The sequence below is a fragment of the Homo sapiens genome, chromosome 5 (genome assembly GCF_000001405.40).
Source record: "Homo sapiens chromosome 5, GRCh38.p14 Primary Assembly".
NCBI lineage: Eukaryota > Metazoa > Chordata > Mammalia > Primates > Hominidae > Homo > Homo sapiens.
The window spans coordinates 157,549,479-157,567,686 of record NC_000005.10 but is presented as its reverse complement, the minus strand read 5'-3'; the positions used below and the strand labels follow the sequence as shown (position 1 = coordinate 157,567,686).

At 43.9% G+C, this 18,208-nt stretch overlaps 1 protein-coding gene across 2 annotated transcripts in view, besides 1 other annotated feature; it reads left to right on the top strand.

The window, feature by feature from the left end:
• Positions 1-18,208, top strand: part of ADAM19 (ADAM metallopeptidase domain 19) — a 98,472-nt gene that overhangs the window by 8,089 nt on the left and 72,175 nt on the right. For both annotated transcript variants that reach the window (NM_033274.5, XM_047417858.1), the window contains exon 3: positions 3,244-3,314. In NM_033274.5, coding sequence (NP_150377.1) covers positions 3,244-3,314 — 71 coding nt within the window. The remainder of the gene's footprint in view (positions 1-3,243; positions 3,315-18,208) is intronic.
• Positions 10,698-10,757: an enhancer, noted in NCBI's record as "active region_23521". NCBI's record gives its function as "activates an Ori minimal core promoter by ATAC-STARR-seq in GM12878 lymphoblastoid cells {active_cell/tissue: GM12878}" and the evidence as "EXISTENCE:reporter gene assay evidence [ECO:0000049][PMID:35858748]".

Genomic DNA, 18,208 nt, shown 5'->3' with positions numbered 1-18,208 from the left:
TAGCTGGGATTACAGGCATGCGCCACCATGCCTGGCTAATTTTGTATTTTTAGTAGAGATGGGGTTTCTCCATGTTGGTCAGGCTGGTCTGGAACTCCTGATCTCCAGGGATCCGCCCACCTTGGCCTCCCAAAGTGTTGGGATTACAGGCGTGAGCCACCGTGCCCGGTCTGTGTGGTCTTTCTTAAATGCCCACTTGGAGCTGGGGTCCCTGATGCTCAGTGTGATTGGGCAGGGCACTGCCTCAAAAACTCCATAAAGTGGCAAAGGATCTGCAACCAGAATAGGTGTTGGCAGAGCTGAATCAGGGCATGACAAACAGAGAAGTGAATCTCTTAGTGAAAGTTATTGGTCAAACATCTCCCCAGCTTCCTACTTCGGTGGGTTTGAAATGTTCCTTCTTGAGATGAAGTAATACGATTAATTAGGCAATGGCCAGCGTTGCCCAAGAGCCTTTGATCGGAATGTTGAGATCTCATCAGAGCCCTTGGTGACCTCAAAGTCTCAGAAATGCCCAAATCCTAATGCAGAGTGGGGTTTGCAGCGAGGAAGGGGAATGTGCTTAGACGAGGTAGGCTTCTAACCAGAGGTGGCAGAACAGGTGACCTACTTTCTCAGACATGCAAGAAGTAAGCTTTGAGGTCAACCTTAGAAGGGCTAGAAGCTCTACTCTAGCAATGATTTTGTGGATTGAAAGGGACTTCAAGAATTTATCTGCTGGATGAGGTGGCTCACATTTGTAATACCAACACTTTGGGAGGCTGAGTTGGGAGGATCACATGAGCCCAGGAGTTCAAGATCAGCTTTGGAAACATGGTAATACCCCAGTATCTACAAAAAATTTAAAAATACTAGCCCAGTGTGGTGGCATGCACCTGTGGTCCCAGCTACTCAGTATGCTTGAGCCTGGGAGGTTGAGGCTGCAGTGAGCCGTGATTGTGCCACTGCACTCCAGCCTGCACAACAAAGCAAGACCCCGTCTCAAAAAAAGTTGTCAGTTCCTTAGTCCCAAAATAGAGAGCTTATGTTTAAAACACTCCAAAGAATCTGTTCTGTTTTAAATATGTAAATATCCTTTTTTAAAAAAATAATTTATTTCTTCGAAAAAAGTTCAGTAGCCTTAAGTTGAATTGTTGAAGCGTGGAGATTTATTATGACTTGGTTTTTAAATTTCTTTGAAATTCTCCACAATAATAAAGTAAAAAGAGATTAATAAAAAGTTCTTTTCTTAAACTGTGAAAGCAATTGTAAACATGTGGAAAGATGTGCAAAAGAAAACAAAATTAACTCATGATCCCATTAACTATGGTAATGGTTAGGCTTATTTCTCTCTACATTTTTCCCTTTGCGAAGTGTATTTAAATAAAATATTCAGTATTGTATTTTGAGCTTTATGACTAATGATTATTGTGTACATTTTGTCAGTAATTTAACAACTACTTAAAGTTGCTGCTTTTAATGATCATTCAGTGTTCTGTCATATGAATGGATCATCATTTATTTAACCATTCTCTAACAGGTTATATTTAGGACAGTTAGGTTACATTTCATTATTCATTACTTTTTTTTTTTTTTTTTGAGACAGAGTCTCGCTCTGTCGCTCAGGCTGGAGTGCAGTGGCATGCTCTCGGCTCACTGCAACCTCCGCCTCCCAGGTTCAAGCGATTCTCCTGCCTCAGCCTCCTGAATAGCTAGAACTATAGGTGTGCACCACCACGCCCAGCTAATTTTTATATTTTTAGTAGAGACGGGGTTTCACCATGTTGGTCAGGCTGGTTTTGAACTCCTGACCTCAAGTGGTCCACCCGTCTCGGCCTCCCAAAGTGCTGGGATTACAGGCATGAGCCACTGCGCCTGGCCCATTATTCATTATTATAAGTAATAAATGTCCTTATGTGCAAACCTTTGCCTGTGCCTCCATTTATTCCTTTCAAACAGCCTCACATTCCTGAGTCTAAACATTTTTTTTTTTTTTTGAGAGAGAGTGTCTCGCTCTGTCACCCAGGCTGGAGTGCAGTGGCGCAATCTCAGCTCACTGCAACCTTCGCCTCCCAGGTTCAAGCAATTCTCCTGCCTCAGCCTCCCGAGTAGCTAGGATCACAGGTGCCCACCACCATGCCTGGCTAATTTTTGTATTTTTGGTAGAGACGGGGTTTCACCGTGTTGGCCAGGCTGGTCTCAAACTCCTGATCTGCCTGCCTCGGCCTCCCAAAGTGCTGGGATTACAGGCGTGAGCCACTGTGCCCGGCCGAGTCTAAACATTTTTAAACTCTCAGTGCATACTGTCATGTTATCTTTCAGAGAGTTGCCGTCAGTTTAAATTCTCAGTGGTAGGGATTGCGAGTGCCCAGTTTACAGTGGGCATTGTGCATTGTGATTTAGAGTTTTAGATAACCTCTGGCACTTTGATTTTTTTCAAGGTATCTTATTATTTTTAATTTGTTTTTCTGGACGTGGGGAGGTGGTTTATTAGCGATGTCGAACATAGTTTTTGTGCTTATCAACCACTGGTATATGTTAAGTGATCCGTTCTGGATATGTAGCACCTGTGGCCACTACCAAACTGCTTATGTGTAAAATGTATCTACTTTTTGGCCTATAAAACCTTAATTTGAGGATCTCTTAGTTGCTTCCTCTGAGATGATTGGGGTTTTCCAAACGGAGAGCCAAAATGAAATAAGAACCCACTACGAAGAGGATCCCCTAGTATTTTACAAGATAATAGGCAATATGTATCATGGCTTGCCGTGTGCCAGGCACTGTGATACATTATTTATGCTCATTATCTCACTCAATCCTTACAAGATCCCCATCAAATTGACTATTACTATCTCTGTATCATACATGAAGAAACTGAGATGTGGGGAGGCTCAGCAACATGTCCGACTTCACACAGCTGCAGGTGTCAGAGCCGGTGCTTGAATCCAGATCTGACTCTGCAGGACATTTACTGCTGGAGATTGTGTTTTCCAGTGTTTCCCTTCACCGCACCACATACATACACTTACACCACATTGCAGCCTGGAGTTTCTTCTCTATGCCTTTCAGGAGAAAGCAGATGGGGGAAGGATTTGGGTCATTCTGGGATTGAGGTCATTTTACATGTGGGCTGGAAATGCAATTGACCTTTGCTCATTCACTTCCTGTGGATCAATGTTGGAGCGCTGTGCTAGATCCTGTGCCCGACCCAGGGAGCCTGGTGCCGGCTTTTAGGAACTGACATTGTTTTGTTGTTGCTTTTAGCATCCACTCAAAGCTGAGCTCAGGGTAATGGCTGAGGGGCGAGAACTGATCCTGGACCTGGAGAAGAATGAGTAAGTGGACTCCTCCTTTGTCTAAAATGAAACAAATAACTTCTGTGTCAACGCCGGACGCAGGTGTCGCTGTTCTGGAAGGAAGCAGTCAATGGAGTGACCCCAAGCTCTCAGTCCTTGGTTTCTTTCAGGCAGCATCTTGCAAAGCCAGAGCCTTTCCACAGCCTCTTGACTCGATGTGAGATTGCTGGACTGCTAAATGTGTTGCTAAAATTTCCTTAGGCAGTATTTCAGGGGCCCCTGGAGTTCACTGCGGGCACACAGAGGTCTGTGTATGTGTGAGATTAAGGGAGTGGATGGACCAGAGGTCTTTGGCAGCTGCCTTACTAGCGCCAGCCTAGTGTGTGGCAGGAAATGAAGGAGATTAGAGGAAAACAGCAGAGAGGAGCGAGCAAAGCAGGGTGTGCTGGGGCTTGGAGCCTCAGACTCAGATTGTTCCATGTGTTCTGGTTCAGCCGCATCTGAGATTTTGTCAACAGGGCATCGTCAACAGTCTCCTGGCTACATCGGGCCCGGCTCTTCCATCTTCTTAACCTCATTCATCTTGGGTGGTAGCCTGGCTCAGAGGCACTTGCACATTGATTTGCCATCAGATGCAGTCATATCTGGATTCATGTAATGGAGGAGGTGAATGGGCACGATGCATGGCTATGTCTGTGGCTCATTCTTTGGCCATTCCCCATCTACTTAGCCATGAAGAGCTCTCCTTACTTGGCCGGGGGACTCTGAAAACATTTGGTGTTTCCCCACTGACCGTCCCACTTTTCGTTCTGCCACACAGACGTCGCAGATAAGGCTGCGTGGCTTGGAGAGCTGCCTGTCTCCTCTTGGCAGCCTCCAGAACCCCCTGGAAGCCAATGAGTAATCAAATGCATCACTGCCAAGAAAAGGATGAAGAAGGACCTTCCTGTATACAAAAGGATGGGAATAGCTTTTAGGCTTGGGTGGAAAGGGAGAATATAATTTATTCCAAATTTGGGCTTTTTGGGCACTTGCAAAGGAGGATGAGTGCTGTCCCGAGTGTGGTTAAAATACAACTCACAGCTTGTGCAGTGGTGGGGCTTCATCCACATCCTTCCTCTGCCTCCAGGACATGGTGGCCTCGGGAAGCCAGAAAGATGGGGATCACAGTCATTTTTGTTCCTCTCCTCTTGAGAGTAAAGCCAGTTTAGGCTGTGTTTCTTCTCTCCTGTGTCCCTGGAATAGACCTGGCCAGCTGCGTCCCTAGACAGTGCAGCGTCTATTGGCCCTGGATTTTTCCTTGCATTGTCTTCCTTTGGTCCTACAAGAAAAGGCCCTTAGAGGGTTTGTTCTTGACCGTGTCTCTCGGGGGCCTGCCTTTGTTGCTCACGGCAGCTTTGTTCCCATTAACTCTAGTCTAAGTGTTCCCTGTTGTTGCCTGTGTCTAATCTCTCCTGTTCTGCCCCCAGTAGAGCCTGTGGCCCTTCAGCTCCCTCTGGTCAGCCCAAGTGATAGTGTTGGTGTTGTGGGAAAATGCTTAGGAGTTGGACTGGCCAAGCAGGAGTCCCAGGACTCAAGTCTCTATCCTTCCCTCCTATTTTGAAACATTTGCTACAGACCATAGGAAGCTAAAGCAGGAAGATGCCTTAGAAAACACTGAATGGAATGATCTTAGAAAACTCTGAAATTATGGATGCAGAAGTTTTGATTCAGAGAGGGATAGGCATTTGTCTGAGGCCACCCAGCAAGTAAATGAAAGAGCTGAAACTAGGATCATGTGTATTCTTGGTGTGAGTCTGGAGTTACAGAATGTGACCCAGGGCAAATGGCTGAATCTTTTGGAACTTCGGTGTCCTTGTTTATAAAATGAGGGTAATAAGGCCAGCCTCGTGGGATGGTTGTGAGGATAAATGAGGTGAAGTGCAGGAAGTGCTTGCACAGCGCATGGTGAGTGGCCAGCCACTGTTGGGATTTTTATTGTCCCACACTGAGGCTCCAGAGGAGAGCCCGGGGCTGTGGTTCTAGCATCTGCTTTTCCGAGAGCAGCTCTCGTTTCCCATTGAGCCGCATGGGGCTGGATGTGGTTCCTGGCCTCCTTGAATTGGCAGAAGGCAGCAGAGTTGGTAAAAATGGAAGCAGCAGAGCCAAGCAATATGACCTCACCAGGTGTCCCTGGGGGACGGCTTCCTGCTATTTTCATCCAAATTGGGCTTTTTGTTTTGAACATGTGTTAGTGAGCGGAACTCCAACTGCACACGACTTCCTAGTGTGTTTATTTCCCAAAGCCTTCTCATTCATGGTGCGTGCGAGTCCGGATTCAAAACAGCTTTGGAGCGGGGGAGATGATTTTCTAATTTTTCAAATCACTGTGTTGAAGTTTCTATAATCTCATGACATTTGGGGGAAACTAGGCCCTGGGCCAAGCCATTTCTCAGCCTCTGGTTCTTAACCTCCTCGATCAACGTATTCATTTTTTTTTTTTTTTAATCTACGTGCCTCTGTGACATTTCAGGCACCAGTGCAGGTACTGGGGATAAAGCTGTGAATAAAACAGTACAGCCTTTATGGAGCTTCTATTCTAGTGGGAAACAGTAAGCAGACAAGTGAGTGCACCGTCCGTCAGGTGATGGGTGCTGTGCAGGAGACAGAGGAGCATAGGGAGTGGGGCCAGGGGAGTGTGGAGGTAGAATGGGAGCTGCTGTTTCTGAATGGCAGTCAGGGAAGGCCTTTCAGGTGAACTGATACTTGAGTCAAGACCTGAAGGAGGTGATGGAGTGAGCCATATGGGTAGCTGAGAGATGACAATTCCAAGGAGAGGGAACAGCCACGTTCCAAGGCCCTAATAGATGATGAAGGTTTCCACTCTCCCTCTGTACATTTCCCCATACACTGGATTCTCAGGTCTCCCAGGAGCGGTGAGCAAGGGCTTCTGGGACTCTGGGGGGAGGGAGAGGACATTTTAAATTTCTTTTTCATCATCCTGCCGTGTCTGGCCTTCTCCCATCAAATCAAAGCCCACGTATTAATGCATGGCCCAAAATAGCAGTGAGCAAGCCTTTAATGGAATTCACACATGGAGAGATCGCCAAGAATGGTGAGGATGGAAAGGCATGGGGCATGGGCCAGGAGAGGAGGGGGAACACAGCAAAGTGAGCTTCAGCTCAGGCAGCAGACACACTGAGGTGTCCTACAATAGCGCGGCAGCCGGCAGCCTGTCTCTGCTTTGAAGCAACTCAGCAACTCACGGATGACATCCGTGAGAAGCACACATTCTTTTCTCTATTGAGTGCAGGTGAAAAACAGTGACCCTTTAGGGATAATCTGAGCATTGCTTTTGTGTCGGTTATTCCTGTGTTCAGATCCTGGCTCTGCCACTTACTACCTTGTAGCCTCTTTAAGCCTCAGTTTGTGCATCTGGGGTGTAATTATAGTCCCATGTCATAGAGCCAGAGCCACAGGGAGGATGAAATGAGATGGTACAGGTGAAGGACTTAGCAGAGTGCCTTGTTTGTATTCCAAGCTCAAGGTAGCTATGATTATTTCTTGCTCATTGTTTTTAAATTGCAAAAGCAAAGCATGCTCATTGTAAAACATGTAGCAATTCCAAATAAACAAAAGAATGAAAGTTTCCCTCCCACGAGGAAAATCCACTGCTGTTTGGTGAGCAAACCCTGGACCTTTTCTATGCATACAAGAACATGCACATGAATCCTCACAGACACAATCACATACAGACACAGTCACACAGAAGCTGCTATTTTTGTTGGGGAGGGAGGAGCAGAAATGAGATTATGTCAGACATATTGCTCCAGCATTTCCTTTTTTGAACTCAACTGGATGTCATGAAGACAGTCTTCTGCTCTAATAAAGTATATATTACATTGTTTAATATTTATACACACATGTAATCACATAATTTGCAAAGATTGGTGCATAGCTGCTGTTGGAGAAACTTGTGATTGAGGCAGTGTGGTACAGTGGACATAGCATTGACCTCAGAGACAGATGATATGAAATTGGTCAAAAAGCCAGCCAGCTCCCCTGAGCCTCTGCTTTCTCATCTGTAAAATGCAGATTTTGGCCCCGGATAGGCTCTGAAGGCTCTTTCTGCACTACCTCTTTTTTTTTTTTTTTTTTTTTTTTTTTTGAGACGGAGTCTCGCTCTGTCGCCCAGGCTGGAGTGCAGTGGCGGGATCTCGGCTCACTGCAAGCTCCGCCTTCCGGGTTCACGCCATTCTCCTGCCTCAGCCTCCCAAGTAGCTGGGACTACAGGCGCCCGCCACTACGCCCGGCTAATTTTTTGTATTTTTAGTAGAGACGGGGTTTCACCGTTTTAGCCGGGATGGTCTCGATCTCCTGACCTCGTGATCCGCCCGCCTCGGCCTCCCAAAGTGCTGGGATTACAGGCGTGAGCCACCGCGCCCGGCCTGCACTACCTCTTTAAAGGATGCTCTGTGAGTAGAAAAATGCAAAAGAAGTCTCTGCCTCAGGAAATTTGCTCTACCTGTGGAGACATCCTGGGAAATAGTGGGCAGTGGGATAAAGGAAAAAGGTGCCCCAAATCACGGGACCTTGAAGTTGGGGACGAACTTCTAGGTCAGAACCCGCAGGTTCAGGCAACAGAAAATACAAGAAGGGAAACTACAGAGCAGAAATTATAGACTGCTGTTTGCACAACCCACAGATTTGAGCATTAATCCATATTTTTTCTCTATGTTCTTTTCCCCATGTCCTGAGACTACCTCACCAACCCAGGAACCCATATTTGACAAAAACTTGTTTGCTGAAATCAAATGGAATCCTCCTTAGTTAGCTGCAGGCATCCAGGGAGATGAACAGGGTTATGTGAGCCCCAGCGCCATATCCTGTCCTTTCTTGGCTTTTTCCCAAAAGGAGGGCACACTGAATTGCTCAACCAGATTCCTGGATGCTCACTGGGCCGCATTACTAGTGAGCAGGATCACTCTATTACAAGATCACCTTCAAAAGCAAATGAATGGCTCAACTAGTAGGCACTTTGCCCAGAGGCTCTTTGGCCATATGCTTCTGTCTTCTAGTATCTTAAACACATTCTAGGACTCTCATTTCTTCAATACACTGTCCTTCCTCAAGTCCAAATGATGATGGCTTGAGAAAGGGAGAGACGTCCTTTGGTCTAACCCCATCCATTTGTGCTCCAGCCCAGTTAGCTAAAGAGAGATCTTATTTGCTCAAGTTTAGTTAATAAGAACGGGCGTTTGTTTTCTTTTGTGAGTATGTCTACCTCCAAACCACCTGGGGAACAGCAATTGTCAAGGCAGAATTTGGGCATTTAGAGGTTTACTGATTTTAATACCTATCATTACTTCCAACTTTAATCTTTCTTCCTATCCCTAACTTCTTATCAGTCCTTCAGTGATATCATAGGGAAGGAGAAGGCTTTCATTGTCCTGGAAATCAAGCTACAATCTGGAAAATTAACATTCAGTGCTAATGGAGTAATCTAGCTCCCTAACATTCTCGTTTTTCCTCAAGTCCATTATACAATTTGGATTGCATAATACTGGTGGAATTGAGGAAGGGCAGAATTAGCAGGCAGGAAAGGAATTTTTCAGCAACACACGGGGCAGATTAGTTGCCATCTCTTATTCCTGCACTTCTTTTTCAAGGATACCTGGTAGAAATAGTAGCAGACCCAAAGCAAAACTATGAATACCACTTAGGCAGTGGAGCTCTCCCCACCTCCACCCTCCCAGCTTCCTCCCAGGTCAAGAGTAGACTTTAACATCTTACCTAGGATAAAGGACAGCTCTCTTTGACCCTCTCTTGTCAGGAGCTTCATTTGTTGTTGGCAAAATTCAATTTCCTGGATCAAAGAGCAGCTTAGAAAGGCTTAGATGGTATCCCAATGCTCTTAGTAAACCATGCTTCACTGAGTTGCATTTAAATGAGTCATAGACATATGGATTACATTGCACTTAAAATACACATGGCTCAAGAAATTAAAGGATATCATTCTTTAACCAAGTATTTGGCAGATCTAAAGTATTCAAAATGTTTTTCCAAACTCTACTCGCAGCTGGGCTCCCCATTCCCCATGGCTAAGGTTGTATAACCCGGGGAGACAGGTGCTGAGGAAACAGTTGGATGAATGGGTGGGGACACCAGAATTTGATGAGAGCTGCCTGTGGTGTCTGAAATTTTCTTCACATGTTCTTTGGAAGTATGAAGAACTGGTTTAACCCTGCTGTGTTGACGCTGAAGGCAGTGAATGCATGAGTGGATTTAAATTCCAAGTGCTTTGCTAGGCACGTCATTCCAGAGAGACCTGGTAGTCCTGTTTGAGATGTAGTTTCTAATTGTAGCTTTGTAGACTGAGAATGATTTCATTTGCATTTCCCATGTTGTCCCAAATGCCTGGAGTTGCAGAACAAATGGATTGCCAGCCAGTCTGATGTGATTTTTTATAAGCCAAACTCTCAACCCCACCCCAGCATAAGCAGGGTCTCCATTTGCAATGTACTGAATGTTTATGTCTCCCTTCAAATTCTTATGTTGAAGTCCTAGTCCCCAAGGTGATGGTATTAGGAGGTGGGGCCTTTTGGATATGATTCGTTTATGAGGGCTCTGCTCTCATGAATAGGATTAGTGCCCTGATAGAAGAGACCCGAGAGAATTAGCTCACCTTTTCCACCAGGTGAAGACACAGCTAGCAGCTACCATCTATGAACCGGAGAGAGGGCCCTCACTAGACACGAAATCTGCTGATCCCTTGATCTTGGACTTCTCAGACTCTAGAACCGTGAGAAGTAAATTTGTTGCTTATTTGCTACCCAGGTTATGCTGTTTTGTTATAGCAGCCAGAATGGACTAAGATGCCATTATTTCTAAAATATTGGACACATGATATCACTTTCTTAGGGTCCATTGCTTAAGCTCAGACTCAGTAATAAGCCTGGTGATCTGAAGGGATGCAGCTTCATGATACGCTTGTCTAAGGTATCAGAGAGCATCCAAAATTGAAATAGCCTAGATGTGTTGATTCTGAAAGCCTTGTGCACACAAGCCTTAAACATCCTAATCCATAGAGTAGAACAGATTTGGACTTTGGTCCCAGAGACCCTGATTCAATTCCAGATACTGACACTTCCGGTTGGGTGGTCTTTGGTAAGTCACTTGCCTTCTAAGTTTTACTTCTTCATCTGTATTCATAGTAATACTACTTGGCCAGGTGCAGTGGCGCATGCCTGTAATCCTAGCACTTTGGGAGGCTGAGCCGGGTGGATCACGCGAGCCCAGGAGTTCGAGACCAGCCTGGGCAATGTGGCAAAACCCTGTCTCTACCAAAACCAACCAACCAAACAAACAAAAAACCCCCACAAAAATTAGCCAGGCATGGTGGCACATGCCTGTAGTCCCAGCTACTCAGGAAGCTTTAGTGGGAGGATCTTTTGAGCCCAGGAGGTGAAGGTTGCAATGAGCTGAGATCATACCACCGCACTCTAGCCTGGTTGACAGAGCCAGATGCTGTCTCAAATAATAGTAATAATACTCACTGCTTTGTGAGCATTTGCTGAGAATGGATACTTCGGAAAAGGCACTTCACACAATGTCTTATTGAATCCTCATGGCAACCCTTTGAATGAGATATTGTTGTCTGCATTTTATAATGAAACTCAAGCATGAGGAGTTTAAATAATTTACCCAGTATTGGGCATAGCCAGGAGTCAAACTCTGGCCTGCCTGCCTCTTACTACATTATAGCACTTGCATAGAAAATAGAGACATTGATACCTTCATTGCAGGGTGTGGAAGGCTGAAAAATGCACCCTCTCCCCTCCAATGATAACCACATTCGAATCCCTGGAACATGTGGCAGAATCTTTGCAGATGTGATTAAGTTAAAGATCTTGAGGCCGGGCATGGTGGCTCACGCCTGTAATCCCAGCACTTTGGGAGGCCAAGGCAGGTGAATCACCTGAGGTCAGGAGTTCGAGACCAGCCTGACTAACATGGTGAAACCTGGTCTCTACTAAAAATACAAAAATTAGCTGGGCATGGTGGTGCGCCCCTGTAGTCCCAGCTACTCGGGAGGTTGAGGCAGAAGAATTGCTTGAACCCGGGAGGCAGAGGTTGCAGTGAGCCGAGATTGTGCCACTGCACTCCAGCCTGGGCAATAGAGTGAGACCCCATCTCAAAAAAAAAAAAAAAAAAAAAAAAAAAGAAAAAGAAAAAAAAACAGGTTATAAAAACCTTGCTGATAAAACAGGTTGCAGTAAAGAAGAGTCACTTGAGCCTGGGAGGCAGAGGTTGCAGTGAGCTGAGGTCACACCACTGCACTCCAGCCTCAGCGACAGAGCGAGACTCCGTCTCAAACAACAGCAACAACAACAACAACAAAATCAAAGATCTTGAGATGAGAAGATTATCTTGGATTACCTGGATGGGCCCTAAATACAATGGCAAATATATTTATAAGAGGGAGGCAGAAGGAGATTTGACTATAGACAGAACAGGAGACAGTGATGTGATCACAGAGGCAGAGATTAGAGTGGTGCAGCCATGAGCCAAGGAGAAGCTGGAAGAGGCAAGGAACAGATTCTCCCAGAGGGCACGCAGCCCTGCTGACCCCTTGATTTTGGCCCAATAATACCGATTTCATTCTTCTGACCTCTCAAGCTGTGTGAAAACAACTTTCTGTTGTTTGAAGCCACCAATTTTGTGACAATTTATTACACACTAGCCCCAGGAAACACACACACAGGGTTTGTGAGGTTAGGAGATAATGTATGACAATGCACTTAGTACAACGTCTGGCACATAGCAAGCAGGTTTTCAATACATGCTAATTTGTACTAATGCAACGTCCAGAACAAATGTTTTCAGGTGTTTTGGGGATGCAAGCTGTGACATGTGGCCCTTGCAGCTTTCTTCAAGCATGAAAATGACAAGAGAAAAAAACATATTGAGCAATAATCTGTGTGGTTATTGCTTATCTACATTACCCAAGTTCCGGGTCATGTTCTCTGATGCTCTGTCTGCCCTTAGGGAACTTCTGGCTGAGGATAACTAGGAATGATTGTCACATATTAACAAATGGTGATAGCTAAAAAGTAGGAGATGCCTGTATAACAGGCATCGTACTGTGGTATTTATATGGGTCATCTACTTCACTTGTCACAACCAACCAATGAAGAGTAGATTCCTATATTAGCCCTATTTGGCAGATGGGGACCCTGAGGTGTGGAGCAGTGTGACTTGCTAAAAGTCATGTGGGTGGGAAGAGCAGGGCCAGGATGTGAAACTAGATCTGTTTGACTCCCAAGTCCAGGCTTTTAACTGGGGCAGTATATTGCCTCTCAGATGCATAGTCCTGGCTCATTATGCTTTGGGCTCTTTTTTGGTTAGCACTGGCATTTCTTCTTCATTGTTCTACTCTCCCCCTTCCCTTTCCTCCTACCTTTCCCAGGCCCTGGTTAGAATTTGCATGTCAGTGTAATGTGATAGTGTAATCCAGGCAGGTGTGCATCCCAAGCTTGGCTCCTTGCACTACCTGGAGGTGTAAGCTTTGGCAAGTCGCTCAACCTTTGAGAGTCTCAGTTTTCTCATCTACGTGATGGGGATAATAACCTCATAGGATGTGTGTGGAATTCAATAACGTAATGCTCTTAAAGGATTTACAGGGTGCCTGGTGCACTATGAGAGCACAATAAATAGACACTGTTATTTGTGTTTTGCAGGGTCAGAAAAGCATTTAAGAATGAAGTCAGAGGGAATTCCCCTGAGTTGGTTTCCAAATGTAATTAAGAAGAGTTGACCTTAAAACCCATTGCCCCTGGGAGGAAATTACTTCTGCTCTCCAGCGATGCCCAGTTTGACCTAATTGTATCTCGAAAACACTGCTTTGCAGTGTTCTCCAGTGGGCCAAACTGTACCTCTTTTCTGTGCCTGCAGAATCAGATGAGGCCCTGAACTGTCCAATATGAGGTTGGGATTTGTTCACTGGTTCCGGCTCTCCTTCCAGGGATCCGCAGCCAGGGCTGCCTGTGCAGCCAGGAAGGATGTCCACGGTTTTCTTTTGTCTCAAGCTTATTTCTCCTGGCTGCTCTTCAGCAGGAGCACGGGGTAAAATGAATGGGAGGAAGCTGTCAACTGCCCTGTTGGCCTTAGATGGACCCTTATCCGAACTAAGGGAAGCTGTGGACTTGGAAGAAGTCAGGATGCTTGGGTTTGGGGACCCCTTTATCATCAGGCTGCTTACCTTCAGATAACAACAATAGCTGGCATTGAGGGAGTGAGCATTTACCATGAACTTAATATTTTATGTAGATTTTAAAAATCCCTATGTATATTTATATACAAATGAGGTCATAGTGTATTCTTGGTTTTGTAACCTATTTTTTTTCACTTGGAAATATAGCATGGGCATTTAAAAACATTTAAAAGATTTTACATGGAACTTTTTGGAATGTTTGACATTTTTCATAATAAAACTTCAGAGAAAAATTAAACAAGTTATAGAGTTTTTAAATGCATGGTATCGTACTTTATATACTATTTTATAATTGGCTTTTTTATTTTTTGTCTTCAGTGTCTTTCCACATGAGCACATTTATAGACCTGTTTCATTCTTTTTAATGGTGACATAGGATTCCACTGAATGGATGAATCAAAATTTATTAATTTCCTTATTAACTGACAGTTAGGTTTCTGATTTCTTGTTATTACAAATAATCCTAGCAATAGGATTGTACATAATCTTTAAGCACATTTGCAAGTATTTCTGTAGCACTGATACCTAGATGTAGAGTTACAGGATCCTATGGAGTACACAATTAAAACGCTTTTAAATTTTGACAAGTTGTACCTCTCACTCCACAAATACCTCCCCAAAGGCTGAATGTACCATTTTGCATTTATACAACAACAGATACCTCCCCAAAGGTTGAATGTACCATTTCACATTATGAGCATATTATAAATATGTCTCCATGTACCTTTATCATATTTAAAAAAATTAATTAGAAGTTCTATTTTTACTTACTTTTTAGCCCATGAAACAAATCTCAGTAATTTTATCTTTTCCTTTTTTAATTTTTAATTTTTGTGAGTACATACATAGTAAGTGTATATATTTACGGGGTACAAGAGATATTTTGATACAAACATGCAATGTGAAATAAGCACATCATGAAGAAAAGGGTATCCATTCCATCAGGCATTTATCCGTTGCATTGCAAACAGTCCAATTATACTCTTTATTTTAAAATGTATAGTTAAATTATTATAGACTGTAGTCACCTTGTTGTGCTATCAAATAATAGGTCTTATTCATTTTTTCTATTCTTTTTTGTACCCATTAACTATCTGCATCTCCCCACTACACCCTTCCCAGCCTCTGGTAACCATCCTTCTACTCTTTCTGCCCAGGAGTTCAATTATTTTGATTTTTAGATCCTACAAATAAGTGAGAACATGGGATGTTGATCTTTCTGTCTGTACCTGGTTTATTTCACTTAACATAATGATCTCCAGTTCCATCCATGTTGTTGCAAATGACTGGAGCTCATTCTTTTTTATGGCAGAATAGTACTCCATTGTGTATATGTACCACATTTTCTTTATCCATTCATCCCAGATAGAGACTTAGGTTGCTTCCAAATCTTGGCTATTGTAAACTCTGCTGCAACAAACACAGGAGCACAGGTATGTCTTCAGTATACTGATTTCCTTTTTTTTTTTTTTTTTTTTTTTTGAGTAGAGTCCCGCTCTGTCACCCAGGCTGGAATGCAATGGCACAATCTCGGCTCACTGCAACCTCCACCTCCCAGGTTCAAGCAATTCTCCTGTCTCAGCCTCCCGAGTAGCTGGGACTACAGGCACACACCACCATGCCCGGCTAACTTTTTGTATTTTTAGTAGAGACGGGGTTTCACCTTGTTGCCCTGGCTGGTCTCAAACTCCTGTTGCCCAGGCTGGGCTTGAACTCCTAAGCTCAGGCAATCCACCCACCTCAGCCTCCCAAAGTGCTAGGATTACAGGCATGAGCCACCGTGCCTGGCCCACTGATTTCCTTTCTTTTGGGTCTATACTCAGCAGTGGGATTGCTGGATCATATGGTAGCATGACATAGTGGTTGTACTAATTTATGTTCCCACCAGCAACGTACACAAGGGTTCCCTTTTCCCCACATCCTCACCAGCATTTATTATTGCCTATCTTTCAACTGGGTGAGATGATATCTCATTGCGGTTTTTTTTGTTTTGCTTTGTTTTGTTTTTTGAGACAGAGTCTTGATCTGTCCCCCAGGCTGGAGTGCAGTGGTGCGATCTTGGCTCACTGCAACCTCCGCCTTCTGGGTTCAAGCGATTCTTGAGCCTCAGTCTCTTGAGTATCTGGGACTACAGGTGCACGCCACCACACCTGGTTAATTTTTTTGCATTTTGTATTTTTAGTAGAGATGAAGTTTTGCCATGTTGACCAGGCTAGTCTCAAACTCCTGGTCTCAAGTGATCCATCCCAAAGTGCTGGGATTACAGGCATGAGTCAAGGCACCCAGCTTGTTGTGGTATTGATTTGCATTTCTCTGAAGATCAGTGATGTTGAGCACCTTTTCATATGCTTGTTTGCCATTTTTATGCCTTCTTTTGAGAAATGTCTATTCAAAGCTTTTGCCCAACTTTTGATTGGATTATTAGTTTTTTTTTTTCTTATAGAGTTGTTTGAGCTCCTTATATAGTCTTGTTATTAAGCCCTTGTCAGATGGGTAGTTTACAAATATTTTCTCCCATTGTTTGGGTTGTCTCTTCACTTTGTTGATTGTATCCTTTGCTGTTCAGAAGCTTTTTAACTTGTTGTGATCCCATTTGTCCATTTTTTCTTTGGTTGCCTGTGCTTGTGGGGTATTGCTCAAGAAATTTTGCCCAGACCAATGTCCTGGAGATTTTCCCCAATGTTTTCTTGTTGCAGTTAAATGGTTTGAGGTCTTAGTTTTTTTGGTCTTTTTTTTTTTTTTTTTTTGGGGTTGGGGGGACAGAATCATGCTCTGTTGCTTAGGCTGGAGTGCAATGGCGCAATCTCAGCTCATTGCAGCCACTGCCTTCTTGGTTCAATTGATTCTCCTGTTTCAGCCTCCCGAGTAGCTGAGATTACAGGCGTGCACCACCACGCCAGCTAATTATTTTCTTTTTAGTAGAGACAGGATTTCACCATGTTGGCCAGGCTGGTCTGCAACTCCTGACCTCAGGTGATTCGCCTGCCTCGGCTTCCCAAAGTGCTGGGATTACAGGCATGAACCACTGTGCCTGGCCTGAGGTCTTAGATTTAAGTCTTTAATCCGTTTTGATTTGATTTTTGTATACAATGAGAGATAGGGGCCTAGTTTTATTCTTCTGCATATGGTTTTCCCACCATTTATTGAAGAGACTATCATATCATTTTCGTGGCTGTGTGATATTATAGTCTATGTGTATGCATGATTAACTCTTACAGCTTCTTATAGTGAAAAATTATCAAACGTGCAGAGTAGAGAGAATGATGGTATGAATCACTGTATACCCAACTGAGTCAAAGCGAATTTACATGTAACGTGGATATATAAAGGCAAGTTGCCCTTGGCTCCTCTGCAAGTTTATATCTCACTGCCCTTGTTGAGAGATCCTGTTTTCCCAAACACACCATTGAGTTGATTATTGAGCTTGGGCAGACTCTTTAAACCCAAGCTCTCTTGTCTTTTTTTTTTTTTTTCCAAACAGCTTTACTGAGATACAACTCACATACCATATAGTTCACTCATTTAAAGTATACAATTTCATCTGTTTTAGTATATTTACAAAGTCATGCAGCCATCGCCATAATCTGATTTTAGAACATTTTCACCACTCCAAAAGGAAAAAACATCAGCAGTGTTATGAGTTGAATGGTGTCCCCCCAAACTCATATGTTGAAGTCCTTATCCCCAGTACCTCAAAGTGACCTTATTTGGAAATTGAGTTGTGGATGTATTTAGTTAAGATGAGATCATACTGGAGTATGGCAGGTCTCTAATCCAGCATGAGTGGTGTCCTTTTAGAAGGGGGAGGTTTGGAAACAGACACACACTCTGGGAGAATGCCATGTGAAGATTAGAGTTATGCCACCACAGGCGAAGGAACTCAGAAGCCAGGAGAGAGCCTGGGATAAGCCCTTTCCTTGCACCTGCAGAGAGAGGATGATAGCTTGATCTTGGACTTTTAGCCTCAAGAACTGTGTGACATAAACTTCCGATTTTTAAGCCACTTGGTTTGTGATACTTTGTTACGGTAGTCCTAGAAAAGGAGCACAGTCATTCTTCATTCTCCCCCACCCCACGTCAGTCCTATGAAGCTGGCAATCTGATGTCTCCAGATTTACTTATTCTGGATGTTTCATGTAAATGGGATTATACAATATGTGGTCTTTTTGACTGGCTACTTTCACTTCGGGTAAAGTTTTTGAGGTTTATTCGTGTTGTAGTATGTATCAGTATTCTTATTGCTATATGGTATTACATTATATAGATATACCACATTTTGTTAACCCATTCATTAGTTGATAGATCTGCCTTTTAAGCTCGAGCTAATTTTTCTCCATTCTACAAGTTTGATTTCAGGGGATACTGATTGAGCACCTCTATGTAGAATCCTGTGCTAGGTGCTGTAGAGACTAGGCATGAAAACAGGATATTCTTACCTTCTGGCAGTTTAGACTCTGTGGGAGAGAAAACAGCATGCAAACAGCATAATCCAAAACAGATTACAAATTTACATGGTAGAATTGAAAGTAAAGAACTGCGAAGGCAAGAGGAACGGGAATTTGTGACTGGGGAAGAGGGGAGCCTTCCCTAATGAGGGTTACTTGAAATATTGTCTTGCAGAATGATGGGAGGCTTTTGATGAGGGAGGGAGATGAGATGAATGGAGAATGAGAAAGGAATT